The 19,716-nt window shown below is 34.4% G+C and overlaps 1 protein-coding gene across 18 annotated transcripts in view; it reads right to left on the bottom strand.

Annotated features, from left to right (window-relative positions):
* Positions 1–19,716, bottom strand: part of PARD3B (par-3 family cell polarity regulator beta) — a 1,074,688-nt gene that overhangs the window by 505,815 nt on the left and 549,157 nt on the right. For 17 of the 18 annotated variants that reach the window (XM_047443208.1, NM_001302769.2, NM_205863.4 and 14 more), the window contains 2 exons: positions 9,834–9,922; positions 771–857 (listed from right to left, as the gene is read on the bottom strand). In XM_047443208.1, the coding sequence (XP_047299164.1) occupies positions 771–857; positions 9,834–9,922 (176 nt within the window). Of the gene's footprint in view, positions 1–770; positions 858–9,833; positions 9,923–10,578; positions 10,663–19,716 lie in introns of those variants that run through there. The other variant, XM_017003293.2, reaches the window with a different exon arrangement.

The following is a 19,716-nucleotide window of genomic DNA, read 5'->3' as shown; positions in this document are numbered from 1 at the left end:
CGTCTTATTACAAAGTGACATAATATCTAAAACAAGTTCAGTACAATTGTTTTAACAGGGGTAATATGAACTCTGTGGCACACACTTTAATTTCCATCAAGAGAACAAGTTTTAAATCCAGTTAGATAGATGTAAATTTCAAGAAGTGTTGATACGATCTACAATGCCATTTTTACCAGTGTGGATTTAGCAACATAATGTATTAAAAATTCCAAAAGGATGTGGTAAATTATTTTTAATTGACTAAATTATATTTTAGGAAAATACAGCATGATGACACATTGCTTTTATAAAGCCATCATACATACACAGCATCAGATATAGCTACTTAAAATGTTAGAATATTTATTATTCTAAATGCTACATACTTGAAGAATAACAGGATATATCAATTTGGAATTATTATACTCACTTGTTGAAGTATATTCTGGAATATTAAAAAATTCAGTTGCAACATTTGTCTAACAATATGTTAACATCTTTGCCAAGGATTCTGTTTACTATGTGTCACTGATAAGGATACTTTAAGAAAGTATTTCATAATTAATTGTAAATGGAGAAACAGTGATTGATTTCTTTCCCCATTACATCCTAAAGTCAATTATTTTATTTTGTTTCCAACACTTAAGTGGCCAACAGAAGTATGTCTTGAGGTATCCATTTGAATAATAGAATTCACATTTAATCTCCTTGTGAAAAATATTTGGGAAAAGGAGCTCAAATCAGGGTTTTCATTAGCATGAGCTTCTGGAATGAGAAAAACATCTTACCTTCCACTCAGAGATGAAAAGAAGGGCACTACATGTATTCCCAATGGGCCTCCTTCCCCAGAAATCTCCACTGTTCTTGTCATATCACTGGGGCAGAAAAAAACAAGAGCACAAATGAGTGTCTGCTAAAAAACAGAGGGAGCACATCTAAAATACACACACACACACACACACACACACACACCCCTGCTCAGGATTATATCAACTAATACAACTTCAAAGTCAAAAGAGTACATAATTTATTGGTATGTTCAGATGATCCAGAAAACAAAATGTTTAAAAGTCTATCTGATTTCTTACTTTTACTCCTAGAAGAGGAACAAATGGAAATGACTACCTACAAAAATAACTTCCTACTTAACTTAATCTGCATAAATCAACATATTTTAAAAGAGGTACACAAAAATTAAAATTTTCCCCATTAAAACACACTTGAAAATTGCTGTACAGATCATAAAAAACACAGAAGAAAGCACATCGATGCTTCAGCATAAAGTAGGCTTCTTCTCTGGAACAGAGGAAAAATGAAATAAAATATTTATTAGAAAAAGCACAGAATTACGTGTTATAATGGCTGTGAAGCCACAGTTGGTAATACATATGGGCATGTTCAAAGCAATATAAATCAAAACTCAAACTTGCTTTTCAATAGGGCATCAGTTCTATTCAACAGAACAATTCCAAATTTTCACCTCCTATACTTTTGTAAAGGTAGAAAAAGAGGTTGCAAAGCCTGAAGAAAATGTATTATAGAAAGAAATAGAAAGCCTGACCTGCCTAACCTACCCCTGATTAAGGAAAGGATCAGCTAGAAACATTAATGGATTGTGTGTATGACTGAAATATAGAAGGCACTGGGAGCTTTTGAGTACTAAAGAGTAGAACTACCAAGTTTTCATAAAGATTATAAATAATAACTGTGAACAATTACTGGCTCCGTTAATCCCACAGAGAAAATATAATTGTCATAAGAAAATAATAAAGTTGAAGGAAACATCCACGTTATGGAAATTGTAAGCCGGTCTCCATTGTTCCCTATTTACATGAAAATGACCTGAAACTAGATGTCAAATTAAGAGCTACAGCTGCTACAAATGCTTTCTGCTCCAAATTGAAAATGGTGAAATTTTGACTTCTTGCTGGAAAGTTGAGAACAGCATTAAGCAAAATGCATGATGAATTCACTCTGCACGAAGTATTCTCTAAATTATCAGCAATCTAAAATAAATACATTAAATATATTCTCATCAGTGGATTAGGTTGATTTTTAATGTGTTTTCTTTGCAAGCCTATTATCATTAAGAAATGCAAAAAGGAGCACATCAGTTTTCAGCATTTGTGGAATATGATGAAATTTCAAATCTGGTAATAAATTTCAAGTGAGTTTTGCCCAGATATTGCTGATATATATAAAACTTGTTCAGTCAAGCAGCTTATGTCAGAGGCTTGGAATAAAAGCTAAAAACAAAACAAATCTTAGAGTGATAATATAGTATTAAATGATTCTATATATTTGAGGATATGAACACTCATATGTATATGGACTGTTATATATAGATATGCATTATAAGGTCTGAATATAAAATGCTTGGTTGACAGAGAAAGTTGTATGGCTTTCAAGAGACAAAAAAGCAATACGTTTTATATACTAACAGAATTTATAGTGCATTTTTAGGCATTTGTGGAAGACTAAACCCAAAGCATTTGCATTCTAGCTTTAAAATACTGCTTTTAAAGACTTTTATAAACAGAGATTCAAGCTTTGCTTAGTCACTGAAAATTATTACCCTTACCTTTGTAACATATTTTTATAGTTTTGCACTGAAAGCACAACACAAATCTTTCCTATTAAATGTATCAAGTATCCACATGCTGAGAGATAGCATCCATATGTAATATCTAGAGGCATTTGGAATGTGTTTAGTCTGTTACAGACTTTAACTTTTCAGCTTAAGAATTTTTAGAATACCTTTTATGAATTCTCATGTTCTTTTCTATTTCACAAATATTTCTTTACTCCCACTCAAAATCCCTTCTATAAGACATAATAAATTATATGTATCATACTGATACCTACTCTTTAGTAATCATTAATAATGTGTTTTTACATTCACTTAAGAAAGCCAAACATTTTTAAGTAGCCAATCTTTTAAAAAAGAATACTTAAAAAATTTGTGAGAATGGAATTTTAAAAGTTGAGTTCTATTTTATGAGATTCTCCTTTCAGTATCTCAGAATAAATTTTTATTCTACCATTACACACAATAGTTGCAATTTTGTAGCTAGAAGCATTTTTGATAACTTTTAAATTATTATCACAAAAATAGTACTAGCCCAGAAAAAAAGCCTAGCAGACTTTCAATTTTGTTTACTGTAATATATAAGCACTTATAGAAAGTTAGATCTATTTAATAAAGATAAGTAATAAAATTTTACATAGACCATGTCTCATCATGTTCTTTATAAAATGTTATCTATTATTTGTTTCAAGTTAGAAAGGAGAACATTTGAAAAATAATGCCCCATGGACCAGTTCACATATTTTTATTTATTTAAAAAGAGAAAACAACCCTCAGTACTAGAAATACGTGATGGAGTTGTGCTCTGTAGAGATCTCTATATATGCACTCTTCATGGAAGAGAAACACAGCAAGTAGGACTGGACACAATTATTTGACGACATATCTCATAAAGTGAGATTTTACAAAGACATGAAAATAGGCTATTATTGCTATTTGTTTAGATAAACTCTAGAGTAGAATTCAGGGACTAGTGAACAGGACATGTGCACATTTATGTTTATGTTTTAGAGGACAGTATAGTAGCCAGAAAATAAGCTAGAAGGTTGGTTTAAAATGGAAAATACAGAAAATGAGGTAGACAGGATATTCTGGCAATGGAAAGAAAAAGCGGTTGACAGCCACTTACAAAAAAAACAAAAAACAAAAAACAGAAAATAAACTGTGTGAGATAAAAGAAAAATATTTTGGTTATACATAGAAGAAAAGTGGGAAAATTTTACTAAGATCAAAATAGCTATCTTTATACAACTTTCTAAGACATACTAAAACAAGCAGATAGTTACAAAGCATTAGTTCAACTAGTATTAAAATAGCAAAATGCTCTAAGATCTAATTGATAAAACTGAAACCAGCTGCTACCAATCTGAGATTTAGACAAAACTATAGGCGAAGCTGCAGAATCAGTGGTCTAAAAATGAGACTGTCATGAATGGCAACTCTGCTAGAGCTAGAAGTGAAAGGCTTCATTTGGTTTCCATCCAGAAGAAAGACTTCAAGCTTGAGGGAAAAATATACAATAGAAGCTGCAGATGTTTGTAAGTCTCATTTCTTTACACAAGGCAAATGGACAGCATTTTTAACACTAAGATTACTGAACTCAGTGGCAGGTCACTTGTTGAGGTATGGAAGAGATGAAATTGAGGATGGGGAGCCGGGGGTAATTTATTTCAGAAGAAAATCATGATTCACATGTGTAATTACAGAGAAAGTGTATCCCAGTGGTAACTTTTGAGTCAGGAGTCTGAGTAAATTATTTTAATTAAGACCTGGTGCCTCAGTTTCCTCATTTGCACACGGAGAACATTAAGATTAGGTAATTCCTGGCCAGGCGCGTTGGCTCACGTCTGTAATCCCTGTACTTTGGGAGGCCAAGGCGGGCAGATCACTTGAGGTCAGAAGTTCGAGACCAGCCTGGCCACCATGGAGAAACACCATCTCTACTAAAAATACAAAAATTAGCAGGGTGTGGTGGCACACACTTGTAGTCCCAGCTACTCGGGAGGCTGAGGCATAAGAATCACTTGAACCCAGGAGGCAGAGGTTGCAGTGAGCGGAGATCACACCACTTCACTCCAGCCTGGGTGAAAGAGCAAAACTTCATCTCAAAAAAAAAAAAAAAAAAAAAGATTAGGTATTTCCCTATTAGAGTTGTTGGCTTTAATAAGAAAAATAAAGATCATAACACATATATGTTACACATACCACATCTGGTATTTACAAAGCATTCAATAACTACCTGCTATTAGTATGATTGTTAGAACTGTCTAAGGAAACAAGCTTATAGGCTAAAAGAGAATAATCCATTTTTTTCTATTGATTTCCTCAGTAAGACTTTCTTAAAAAAGCCTTAAATACTGCAGGATTGAGGAACACGTTTTATTTGCAATCAGACTGCTGACATGCAGAGAGAAGACAAAGGACTGCAGCACATGGCTGAGTGTTAGCTGATTTTCTGGAAGGGTGGATTCATAGATCTGTGGCATGCAATAGTATGAGAGGCGGACTACAGAGCGAAACCTCCAGGAAGAATCTGTGGATAACCTTGAACTCTACTTGATGGTGAAATATCTTGAGGATGCAAATGTACTGAGTAAAAATCTATCAAAGACTTTGTTGTTGGTGATGAGATCCACTTACTTCACTTGAATTCAACAAATATTAATTGAGTTGTTTCATTGGGGAAGTTCCACAAGGAAAAAACAAAGACCAATGCTTGAGGAGTTTATAATCTAAGGGGAAGGTTGTGACAGGTAATAAAAAAGAACAGAAAGCGATGGGTTACAGTAGTAGATTCTCGGTGAATGCAAGGTATTACTTGGGAGGCAGTGTACTAACCTTCTTCTGGACATTATATCATGTACTGATACTAAATCTATAAAGTAAACATTTATATCACATCCATTTTAGAAGTAAACTTATGCTTAGAGAGTTTAATAACTTGTCCGACATCATACCATTTCTATAGAGTCAAGACTCAAATAGTGATTTATTGCACCCCAGAGCAGAGTTCTTAACTGCCTAACCAAGGTGCAGTTTCAAAGTGGAGGCACCTTGTGATGTGTTTCAGAGGAGGGTACAGGATTAGGAAGGGAAGCTGGGATTAGGAATCTATTCCTGAAGAAGGACAAACGGGTCTTCCATCAGAAAAGATAGGTGAGGGGATGGAGTGGGCATGCACAGGAGAGAAAGTCAACTGTATGGAGATATTGAACGAGGATAGTCTGTGAGCATAACAATTGGTTGTAATATTAGAGAGAGGGAGGGAGGGAGGAAGGTGGGAGAGAGAATAACGAGGAGAAAGAAGAAGGGAGAAAAGGGAAACAAAGAAAGGTGCTGTGTACAGGAGACAGATTAAACCATTAGCTTGAGATCAAAGCTCAGAGTGGTGTGTTAAATTTCTGGCTAGCAAATTTATACTTAATTTGCAGAAAATGAAGTCACTACAGGTTCTAGAATTAGGGAGAAGTGTGATAAACGCTATGGTTTAGAAATATTTATGCAGTGATATGTGACACCAATTGGAAAAGGGAACCACAAGGGAGAGACTGGTACTTGAGGCAGGAATTACTAAATTATTGCAATAATCTAGCTGAAACTAATAGAGTAACAGAGGCTTGAGCAATGATTACAGGAATAAAGCATCAAAACATGGGGAAATGTCCCACATATTTTGAGATGGCCTCTGCAAACAGTTTGATCAATGAATAGATATCCTTGACACAGGAGAGGATAGGCTAAAATGCGCTGGCGTTTTAAGAATGAAACAAAAGGCAAGTCTGGAAGAAGGCTTATCTGTGGAAGCAGGAGTGGAGAGATAAGGCAGAGTCAGAAATGAGATAGGAATTAGGGATGAGGTGAAGGTCTTTTGTACATATTGCTTGCTATTTAAAGAGACATTCAAAGTGTAATTTTCTTAAAAAACCACCAAACCTCTTGCTTCATTGTCTTTTTAAGATCAAAATAAGTTGAGTGGTGCTTCATAAGAGATGCATATTGTAAAACTATTTGGAGAATGTCTTTTAAATGTTATTTTAAATAAAGATGTTTGCGTTAATAATGGGTGAGCAGTTAACAGTTTTGCTTATGATTTATGGAGCAATGTGTTTTATCCATTCAGTCATTCACTTAGCAAATATGTCCCTATTATATTCCAAGACCTGTATTAGGTGTCAGAAACCCTTTGGAGGATTCACAGTCTTGCTTGGGTGAATGAGAAATAGTTACAATAAACTACAATCTGTGTAAAAATGACAATGATAATGGCAATAGCAATTAATGTTTCTTCAGCCTTTCATTTAGCATTGTGCTAAGTCGGTTGTCTGTACTATATCTCATTTAATCTTCACAATAATCTATGTGACCATGATACCAATTTTCCTATGAAGATACATATTAAAGAAGTAATGTAATTAGTCCAAGATTGCACAGGTAGTAAGTAGCAGAGTTAGTACTCAAACCCAAGACTTATCTAAATCCAAAAGGTCTGGAACTAAGGAATGGCTTGATAAATTCTGTGGTTTAAAACATTTTATCCAACAGTAATATGTGGGATCAATTAGAATAAGGGGAAACTGACATTTGACAGAGAAGTTAGTAGGTTATTATAATGGTGTAGCTGAGGGATAACAAAGGCTTGAGCAATGATTATAGAAATTAAACAGTTACAAGACATTTTGAGATAGACTACAAATAATTTACTTAGCTTCTACGTGGATGCGTGCCCAAAGTCCTATGCATGGGCCAAGCCCTGTGGCATATGAGATTCTCCCTGCCCCAGGAGCATATGGACCATGTAATTCAGACAGAATTGGCTTCCTAATTTCACTTCAACTGTTTTTCATCTCATACTGGCTAGAATCAATGCCCTGTCTTAGAACTGTAACCTCCAAGCTTTCCCCCATGCATTCAATGGCATTAAGATTGTTATCATCCTTTTCCCACTCCAGGGTCTTAAAGTGCTGGGAATTGCACTCACTCTACTTTTTGAATTTGATATAAAACTGATTTTAGCTGCACTTTTATATGAGAAGTTTCCTAGCCTTGGTCAGGTAGCATGAAATAAAACACCAAGGCATCAGGGAATGTACACGCAACAGGAATGTTTGAAATAGTGGCTTTGTAGACAAGAGTGGTGGGTGTCAATTAAGTCTCTAGCTGTCACTTAATTGCTATGAATTGTAGTTCCTTAACCTATTAAAGGTGATAAGAAAACTCATGTGAAAAGCCCGTTTTGATAATCAAATATACACACACACACACACACACACACACACACACACACACACACACACACATACATTTCTTAACTAAAGAATATATATGTTTTTGGCCGGGCGTGGTAGCTCATGCCTGTAATCCCAGCACTTTGGGAGGCTGAGGCAGATGGATCACCTGAGGTTAGGAGTTCGAGACCAGCCTGACCAACATGGAGAAACCCTGTCTCTGCTATAAATACAAAATTAGCTGGGTTTGGGGTGGCACATGCCTGTAATCCCAGCTACTTGGGAGGCTGAGGCAGGAGAATCACTTGAACCTGGGGGGCGGAGGTTGCGGTGAGCCGAGATCACGCCATTGCACTCCAGCCTGGGTAACAAGAGCAAAACTCCATCTCAAAATAAAAATAAAATAAATAAATAAATAAAAGAATATATATATTTTTAAGTTCCTATACTCCATTTCTCTCAATTCCCTGTAGCTGAAGAAAGCTTGGCTAATTTGTTCATACAGCCATAAACCAAACTAATGTTGACTCTATGATGCTATTCACATAGCATTTGGACAAGATATTAACAAACTTTTCAAAAAGCTAACACTGAAATAAGTGAAATTAAAGCCAAATAGAATAAGAGCATTACAATCATTATGTCTACCTCCAGAAACAATCTTATTAGTTTCTGGAGGTAGACATAATTAGATAATCTTATTAAGTTTCTGAAAAGATGGTGCTTGAAGATTTTCTATTACTCCCTACCCCATATCCCCCCGCCTTTTTTTTTTCTTCAGAGAGAGAGAGGGTCTCCCTATGTTGCAAGATGGACTCGAACTCCTGCACTCAAGTGATCCTCTGTATCAGCCTCTCAAGTAGCTGGGATGATAGGCAGGCACCACCTAGCCTAGTTTCCATCAAATTTTTAATACTGTATAGCTCATCAGTCAAAGAAACGATCTAAATAAAGAGTAACTATGCTCACGTGGCTATAAATAAGTTTGAGGAGAATCCATACAGTAAAGCACATGACAAAGGATGATGACCTATGTTTTTAAAAAGCTAATTTCATGTTAATTGTTTGGACTAAATGAAAGGAATACGTCAACTGCATGAATAATTATAAACTTCAGTAGCTTTACCTAATGCTGAAGTAACCATCTATTAAATATGAAATTATTTTCCTTATGCCAAATTTGAAGTGCGTTAAACAAAATGATGATTAGAACAATAATAGAGATGATGTGATATTAATGATAGTAGTAGAAACAGCAGCAAACACTCACAGGATTTATCCTAACCACAACACTGTGCAAAATGGTCTACATGTATTAACTCATTTAATACCCATACTAACCCTCTGAATAAGATTTTAATACTATTTCCATTCTACAGACTAGAAACTAAGAGAAAGAGAAATGAGTAACTTGTCTAAGCTCACAGGACTAGTAAAGAGGCATAGCTGCGATATGAACCCAGGCACTACCTAGAGCTGAACTGGGAATCAATGCAAAGCAAAGAAAGTACTGGGAAACATGGCAGCCACTGACAGCAAATGAGTTGCCTTCATTAAGAACATGAAAAACCCTGGTTGATAGACAGGGTTCATTTTATTTCATCAAGTAAACTATTACAAGGGTGTTAAAGCACAATACAAAGTAGCACTCAAAGAGCTAAATTTAGGGTTCCCCGGTGGTCTAGTGGCTAGGATTTGGTGCTTTCAAAGAGCTAAAGTCAAAGTAAAACCACCACAATGACCTCTGAAATGTTCATTTGAAATTGCTGTTTGAGGAGAGAAAAAAGTATTTCAGAAATCCTGGGTACAGAAGAGTATTGGATGGATTAAGGATCATTTGTATATATGTTTGTCAGTAAGTTCTCATATGAAGAAAACACTAGAAAAGAAGAATTAAGTAACTGTTAGACTTGGGACATGTTGCACTCCATGATTCTACTTATCCTGATCTTTCTTGTAAAGTAAGAACAATTATAAACTATTAAAAAACACATCAAATTGAAATAAATCAGATATTCTTATCTGTATAAAGAGAATACCTCAATGTGTCCTTAGTTCTTGGCGAAGTTAGTAGTTCTGTCTGTACACCATTCAAAACTTCTCTGTCTTCCAAGTTCTGCGTGGAATCCTATAGTGAAACAAAGTCATAAGCATGTGATGCTGTGCATATTGAATTGAAAATCTGAATAAAATATCCCAATATGGGAGAGTAAACCGCTTTACGCTGGATATATACAGTATGCTCTAATTTCTTTGAAAACTGGAAGCAGGTGTTAATCTTTTCTGTGCTTTCAATGTTCTTTTCTCTCCTGTTTGGTTTCTGAAATGCTCAAATGGGTCATCTACACAATGCAATATGTTAAGAGCTTTGGAATACATTTAGCTTCTTGCTACTCAGCCATAGGCTTTTGGGATTGAGTGTTTTAAACCAGAAAGGAAAAGAATACCAAAGGGGGGACTCTGGTGACAGATGGTGATATATTAGCCTTAAGGTACGTACTTGCTTGCCCCTCACAACATTAAAATATAAAGAAAAGCAAAATCCATGAAAAAACATTGCCTGGCAAAGTCACCTCTGTCAAAGTCAGGCAGAAACACTGCAGGAAGAAGAAATCCAGAACTCTTACTTTGTCATGAAATTTGACTCTGAGGATAATCTTCAGAGAGAGATTCAAATTGCCTATTTAATTTCTAAAATTGTAAACAGGCTCCCACTACAGAAAGGTTAGAGGGTCAGAGAGGCCCTGTACTCCAGGACAGTGGAAAAGTTGTATTGGATGTTACCCAGAGAAGCAGAGGAGAGGATGGATTCTAGAAAGCACGCCTGATGCTGCTGCTTCCTTACAGAAGACATTAGGGCTCAGAGCTGTTCCCTAACAGGGAATCCTGTGGATACCTGTCTCTTCATAAGTGGAGTCACAATAAACTATTGTTACACGTGGACTCCGGTTTCATCAAAGCAACAAACCAGATATAGAAAGACCCATTATCAAAAACCCACACTTATAAACAGCATTTATGCATCTGAATGCATTATTCCAACAGAGTAAGAAAGACAACATACGAGCTTAAGAGGCTGGACATAAGTAAATTAGGTTATCTTTTTTTAATTTTTATTTTTGAGACAGATAAATATATCTATAAATATTTTATTTATATAATTTATATAAATATTTATTTTACATAAATAAAAAATATATTTATTTTACATAAATAAAAATATGTTTATTTTACATAAATATAAAATATGTTTATTTTACATAAATATAAAATATGTTTATTTTACATAAATATAAAATGTTTTTTACATAAATATAAAATATGTTTATTTTACATAAATATAAAATGTTTACATAAATATAAAATGTTTACTTTACATAAATATAAAATATGTTTATTTTACATAAATATAAAATATGTTTATTTTACATAAATATAAAATATAAATATAAAAATAAAAAAATAAAAAAATATATATTTTTATTTTTATTTTTTTTGAGCTCTGTCGCCCAGGCTGGAGTGCAGTGGCATGATCTCGGCTCACTGCAACCTCCGCCTCCCTGATTCATGCCATTCTCCTGGCTCAGCCTCCCGAGTGGCTGGGATTACAGGTGCCCACCACCACACCCGGCTAATTTTGCTTTTGTATTTTTAGTAGAGATGGGGCTTCACCGTGTTAGCCAGGATGGTCTCAATCTCCTGACCTCATGATCTGGTCGTCTTGGCCTCCCAAGTGCTGGGATTACAGGCTTGAGCCACCGCGCCCAGCCAAGTTATTATTTTAAAGAAAGTAAGACATAACTGCAACAGAAGCACTTTGTTGTAGTGAAATGAGTTAAAAAAAATGTCTCTCACTTTTAGATTGAGTAGCAACATTTCATGCAGGGGTTGGTAGTTTTGTGAAACACTTGGTCTACTCTAGACTTTTAAAAAATTAATTTTCTCCTTTTCATGTAGATAAGAAAGAATTTCCATAAGGCTAAAGAACACTTCATGGTTTAAGGTACCAAATTTTAAAAGACGATTGTTTTTGAAAGCTCTCAAACATTCATATTATTATGAAGGGCTTGATATATGCTTACAGATAAGTGGAGACAGGGTTGGGCGGGTTACAAAAATACTTAGGTGGATAATTTAACATAATATTGGAACCTGTGATTATCATGTATGTCAGGATATTTGATGGCCTCATTTTTGCCAAAATCATTAACTTTCTTATCTGTTTCTCTTACACAGGAATGAATTTGTGTCTGCTTCTCTATATATCAAGCACATAACACCAAGAGCTCATTGTATTAATTTTCTAATGTTGTATAATAAATTATCCCACAACTTAATAAATTAAAAAAATAAACATTTATTCTCTCTCACAGTTTCTCTGAGCCAGAGATTTAGAAGTAGCTTAGCTAGGCGGTTCTAGGGTTGGATCGCTTGTAAGTTTGCAGCCCCATGTCTGCGGGGCTGCAGCTACAGTCATCTAAAGGATTGCCTTAAGATCATTTTTATTTCTTACAACAGCTTTATCGATATGTAATTTACATAAGAGTCACCATTTTAAAGAGTACAATTAAGTGGTTTTCAGTATATTCAGAGTTTTGTAACCATCATCAACTAATGTCAGAACATTTTTATCACCCCAAAAAGAAACCTCAAACTCCATTAGCAGTCATTCCTCATCCTCCCCTTCCCCAACAGGCCCTGTCAATCATTAATCTAATTTCTGTCTCAAAGGAGTTGCCTATTGTAGACATTTCATATAAACAGAATCATAAGACTTGTGGCTTCTTTCACTTAGAATAATGTTTTCAAAAGCTCATCCATGTTGTAGCATATATCAGTATTTTACTCCATTTTATGGCCCAACAATATTCCACTTTATGGATATACCACACTAAGTTTATCCATTCATCAGCTGGTGAGCATTTGGGTTGTTTCCACTCTTGCCTATTATGAATAATGTTGCCATGAACATTTGGGTACAAGTTCTTGTGTGAACATATGCTTTCTGTTCTCTGGCGTACGCTGTGGAGTGGAATTGTTGCTCATATGGTAACTATATGTTTAACATTTTGAGGAACTGCTGCACTATTTCCCACATGTCTGAATAATTTGCCATTCTTACCAGCAATACATGAGGGTTTTAATATCTCCATAGACTTGCCACAACTTATTTTCATTTTTAATTTTAATTTATTTTATTCATCCTAATGGGTATAAAATCTCCATAGACTTGCCACAGCTTATTTTCATTTTTAATTTTAATTTATTGTATTCATCCTAATGGGTATAAAGTGATATGTCATTGTAGTTTTGATTTACATTTCTGTAATGACCAATGATGTTGAGCTTCTTTCCCTGTGATTATTGGCCCTTTGTGTATCTTCTTTGGAGAAATGTCTATTTGTCTTTTTATTATTGACCTGTAGAGAGTTCTTTAAATATTCCATATACAAATTTCTTATCCAATATATGATTTACAAATATGTTTTCCTGTTCTTTGGGTTGTCTTCACTTTCTTCATGTGTCCTTTAAAGCACAAAAGTTTTTTATGTTAACGAAGTCCAATGTATTTATTTTTTCTTTTGTAGCTTGTGTTTTTGGTTTTGTATCTAAGAAACATTGCCTAATATAAGGTCACAAAGATGTACACCTTTGTTTTATTATAAGAATCTTATACGGTGTTAGCTCTTACATTTAGGCCTATTATCATTTTGAGTTCATTCCTGCACACTGTGTGAGGAAGGAGTTCAAATTCATTCTTTGCATGTGGATATCTAGTTGTGCTAGTATCATTCATTGAAAAGATTGTTTTTTTATTCATTGAATTGTCTCGACACCCTTAAAGAAAATGAATTTTCCAAAAATGTAAGGGTATATTTCCGGATCCTCAATTGTATTTTATTCATTGATCTATACCTGTCTATTCTTATGTCAGTACGACACAGTCAATTATTGTAGCTTTGTACTAAATTTTGAAATCAGGATGTGTGATTCTTCCAAATTCGTTCTTATTTTTCAAGATTGCTTTGGCTATGCTGGGTCTCTTGCATTTCCATATTAATTTTGGAATCAGTTTGTTAATATCTGCAAAAAAAAAACAGTTGGGTTTTTGCTAGGGATTGCATTGAATACATAGATCAATTTGGAGAGTATCACAATCTAACCATCATAAAGTCTCTCAATCCATGAACAGTTAACAGTGACAGTTAATTAAAATAAATATTCTTTTTAGTTTTATAATTCTGTATGGGATGTATCCTCAGAGTGTCAAAGAAAAAAACTGATATTTGCTATAAAGTTTTATATCATTATTGTTGCCTCTGCACCATACTCTAAATGGAACTTTGTTGTTGATCCCTAACAAGGTAGAAAAATAACATACTTTCTGGCTCAAATCAACATTACGCAAGATTAAAAAATGAATTTTTCATCTAGTTCCAGTTAGATAGCAAGTAAAGATTCTATTCATATCAACAAGTTACTTAATTCTCTGAGTATATGGAAATATCAATTACAATTTGAAAGTAATATTGGGCCAAATACAATGTCATAATCTGCTCAAGGGTAATTCTGAACTGACTACACATTTGGAGAAATCATGTCAATGACTACAGACTTTAAAAAGAATACACATTCACAGACTTATATCTCCTATTATTATTAAGATAATATCAAAAACACTTTCCCTTGCCGAAGCTATCAAAAAAGGGTAGTAACTATAGTTTATCATCTCAACTAATGAGCAGTGTTTATCACTTGCCAAGATCATTTCCATATATTGCACTAACAAAATTCTTTGATATTCTCTGAAGATGGGGCAGGCAGACAGATGCTTAGGGCATCCTATAAGGACATAAAGCCAATTTCAAATTGACTTCAGCAACACTGTAGCTGTGCAGTGCTTTGATACTTATCGACAAGGCAGTTTACCTCTTAACAGGGTACATAAAATCATTTTTTCCAAAAATTACAAAATAACTGACAAATGATAAGTTAAGAATACTTAAGCTTTTCCTTCACTAAATTACATGGTAAAATGAAGAGTCATGAAATTGCACATGTCTAAAAATGAAAATATAGTTTTCCTCATTGCTTATTTAAATGACTTTGAGAAAAATCTGTAAGATGACTTTTAAATTTGGAAGGAAAGGTAGAAAAATAACCCTGATTATGAAGAATCAGAGGTATAAACAACTGATGCCAAACAGCTACCATATTTCTTCAGCTTTATGTTTGAACAATATTAATTATGTGATTTCAAATCCTCAAACTTGCCTCTAGAAAACATAATGGTTTTGGACGCTCTATAATTAATTTTATTAATATAATTCTTACAGCTTCTATTTTTAATGTTAACATAGAAGGATATAATGAGCTGTATGAAATACAAGGTATAGAGCTATTTCAAAATTTTATCTCCTCTTTTGGTCAAATGACAAGGCTTTGCTGTCTAAAATAAAGTTCAGCAGGAGATTGTGTCCTGCCAACTGGTCAGACACCTTTAAGATGTTTGCCCTTTACCACTTTCATCAGAGCAGGGAACAGACAGATCATATGTAGCTCTCACAACAGACAAGTTTAATTACTACAATTTTTTTTAAAGCGAACGTTTTTAGCAACACTTTCAGGATCAAGGGAGCATTTCTGACAGCCAAAATGAGTTGGATTTAAACATCACCGCACTATTTTTAGCTTTAAAATCAACACTTCTATAATTAGTCCCAAACCAATTAGCAACAGCTGGAAAGTAAAGGTGTTTACATTTGGTTAGCACTAGCGCTAACAACTGCAAGTGCTCACAGGCTGGATGAAAGGGGCCAGGCACCAAGAGGGGCAACGGTCTCTCCAGGGGTGATTAAGGTATCAGTACCAGGCTATCATTTCATATTTCACAGTTAGTACCAGTCACTGATTTCATACAAGAACGTGTATTCATTATGAAGCATCACTAGGTTATACATGTCCAAAGAAACTTAACACTATTGATACTTTTTTTTGGAAGAGAATGCTCATCGCATTCCCAAGTTCTCATGGAATTTCCCTGGTCTAGTGTCGCTACAAAATGAAATTAAAAGTAGTTTTATTGCTCGGTTTTTCATCTCTCAGATGAGAACTGAAATAGCGGTCCTGTCTATCAATAAGTATCTCCCTCTGATTTACAGGTGATCATATATGGCCATGATTTTTCCCCCTCAATGAATTTTAGCTACATTGGAAACCACTTGCCCATAAAATTTAACTGCAGCTGAATTATGTTTTAAAAACTCAGGTGCATTTAAAAACAAGATTTGCATTCTGAAAAGTCAACTGCAAGTTTCTTTTGAAAATACACATGAATGTTAGAATGAGAGTAATAGAAACATTATACAGAGAGGATCTGAACATCAGGTTATGTGCCTGGTGCTCATACATAATCATAATGTAAATTTTAAAATTAAAATTCTGGGCATAATTCCAGAATATTTGTTTTTACTTTTCAGAACAAAAATATCTGTGCTAAAGTAAAACAAACTGTATTTGATAAGCACACATGAAATTAACATGCAATTTGATTGTTAAACACTGTTATTTTCAAACTTCATATATATTTTTTATGCCTTTGGAAATGCCTTGCCATTGGAAATCTCTCAGTTGACTTCAAAGATACCATCCCTAAATGTTTCAGTCTTAGCAATTAATATGCCTATAATTTACTACACACACACACACACACACACACACACGCCACTAGATTTTACACCTACATAGCCAGAAATTGGCATGACAATTAGAGATATAAAAGTGCTAAATTAAAAGCTGCTTAAGAAGAACTGTGTTTTATTCATTTCTATGCCTAACAGTGGTTCTCAAACTTTAACGTGGATCAGAAGAATTACCTGGAGTGTTGTGACAACCTAGATTGCTGGGCCCCGCACTCAATGCTTGAAGTTCTACTGCAGTAGGTCTAGGGTGAGTCCCGAGCTTCTACAAGTTTCTGATGCTGCTTGTCCAGGAGCCACACTTCAAAAACCACTGCCTTAAAGTAGCTAGTACAGATCTGAGACTCAGGAAAAATCCTAAAAATTATTAACTAAGCCGGGAAGGATGGTGTTGATGAGTGAAGCCAGTTCACCCATTTTATAGCTAAGGAAACTCAGACGCAGAAAGCTGAAATGACTGGTCTCCTTTTACATGTTGTGTTAGTGACAAAGCCAGAATCTAGGATTCTTGATACTCAGTTCAGTGTTCTTTCTGTGCACCACAATAAATACTTGCTGACTTAAGGAATGTTGACCTTATTACTTATGTTATGGATTCTTTTTTAATGACAGCAACAAAAACCTATAATAATGTCTTCATTATACTTTACCTTTCTTTCAAAGATCTCAAACTATTTCACATATAACTAGATGTATATCCACAACAATCTAGTGGATTTCTTGGCACTCCTATTCCAATTTCATACCTGAACATATGCAAGACAAAAAGATGACTATCTTGTCGAAGAAGAAACTGAAGGTCAAAGAAAGAACCAAAATTTCTTGGGACCCCCGTTTCCTAAGACTTAGTTTTGAAAGCAAGCACATTAACTGTATTTACCTTGTAATGTCTCTTGGTTGTTGATTTCAGGCAAACAGGGTAAGGAAAAGATACCATATTATGAAACAAACAGAGAAATTATTTATACGAAAGACTATCAAGTTTTTCATTATTCTAGAGATTATGCTCTAATAATTGCATCTTTAAAATAAAAAAAACCTTTTTTGGAATACGATTAGATCATAAATATTCTACTAACTAGTCCCTTGCTAATCCTGGGAGCAGGTAAAATCATTAACATTAAATGACTGGCTCAAATCCTTGGCTTATGGAGAGCATGCACACAGGGTGCTCATGCACATTCACAAACACACACTAAGCCATGTGGATAAATTACCTGAATGCATATGGGATAAAACTGCACTCAGTGTAAACAGTTCTGAACTTTGTAAAATGCACTAAAAGTCTACAACTTTCAATGGACTGTTTTCACAGAGATTATGCAGTTGTGGATTATGTGCTACAGAGGCTAAATCCCATTGATAATCAATATAATCAGGGTTGGCCACACCTTCTCTTCATCTGGTGTGTCTGCAAGAGATGCTGAATGATTTTCATAGGTTTAATAAAAATAAATTTAAAATGAGTGAAGATCAAGATACAGTAACTGAATTCTGGTCTAACACAAAAGAGACACAGATTCTAATATAAGTTCATCATTGCTTTGTCTGGTGACCAGACACATCACCTCCTGGCCCTCACTTCTATTTTCTTTATATTGGGGATAAGAAGATTTTTAAGGTCCATTCCAAGCATAAAATGTCATAATGCACCAAATACTAAGGCAGGCAAACTCCAACTGAATAAACATACATATAAAAATTCCCCAACAGATCAATTAAGAGGTATTCATTTGACCAAATGTTTTCTTGGAGAGCTTCCCTTGAGAAGCACTCTCAGAATAGATAACACTTTTATACTTTCTTAACATACTAATTTCTATACAACTTTTGAGGAATAAATCTATGGCATGAAGCATACCTGAAATAAAACCAAAACCTTCTCTCTATACCCCTATTTCTTTTTTATTTTCCTATGATCTTTTCTTGGATATTTTCTTTTCTTCTCATTGCTAATAATCAGCACAGTTAGAGTTCATTGTTAAGATTTCTCAGTATTCTGATTGAGATTTTAAAAGACCAGTGAAATTTTTATAATAAAGTTCTTTAAAATTATACCCTTTACCTGCTGGAGTTTTTTTGTTTGTGTTTGGTTTTATCGCTTATTTTTGGTAGAAATGTGTAAAAGTTGACTTAAGCTGATACCAGGTGTCAAAAGACAGCTGTGAGCTTTTAAAAAAGGCAGAGGTGATGGTGGGTAGAGAGGGAATTCTGTTTCATTTGTGAGATTTGAGTGGACCAAACACATTCATCCATCTCATCGAGGTATCAGAAATGAAAATAACTACTGATGGCAAGATCAACATTTCATCTGCTCTGCTAATCTTTCAACATAAGGCTAACACCAGTGGGTGCACTTCTCCCTACACAAATATGTTCAAGTAAAGGCTGCTTTAAAATCTTCAGAGCCATAGAAGTTTAGAAGTTCAACAAAGTAATTCTGCAACCCCTCCTTTATTGTTCACTGTTTCTTTCTCATATTCAAATAACACATTTCAAAAGTGCTGAAAAGAGTGGAAAACAATTTTTTCAAATACAAGACTGATATAAACATGTTTATAATCATAATTTCTATTTATAATTGGATTCTTTCCCACATTCAGTTATAGCTAATTTTCCCCTAGTTTTCCTATATCATTAAATATATTAAAACTGCTTAAGCCCAGTGCTTCGATACACAAAGATAATGTTGTTTATTATTGAAAGGGTGAAGATATTGAAAAACAGCAATTTCCACAAGGTCTGCTTCAGATCATGCTAAATCATAAAATGTATGATCAAAGGTATTATAAACATCCTTCTTTCATTTAATCTATTTAAACTATACCATCTTCTCAAATATTTAGAATCCAGGTCTGTCAAAATGGACATTTATATGGTACTAGGGCTTCATTTGTAACTCCAAATCATCACCTAAAGCTGGTAAATAGAAAAAACTTAAGGAAGTTGGGATAATTCAGCAATTACCAAGCATTTCTACCTTAACCACTTTCATTTTGCTGGCTGAAATACATCTCAATCAAATTTGGCTCTAGTAAATATCCCATATACACTGATGCAAAGCTATACAAAAGCCAGGTTTGGATCAGAGAGAGTAGAGATAAAAGGTCACACTATTAAAGCAATTGTTTATTTTTGCACAGGCATTTCACGCATGCCAACACAAGCATACTTCCCTGCTGGTCTTCATGACGAAAATCTTCAGGATGAAAATGTGCTGCAG

The sequence above is a fragment of the Homo sapiens genome, chromosome 2 (assembly GCF_000001405.40).
Source record: "Homo sapiens chromosome 2, GRCh38.p14 Primary Assembly".
NCBI lineage: Eukaryota > Metazoa > Chordata > Mammalia > Primates > Hominidae > Homo > Homo sapiens.
This window is presented reverse-complemented; position numbering and strand designations above follow the sequence as displayed.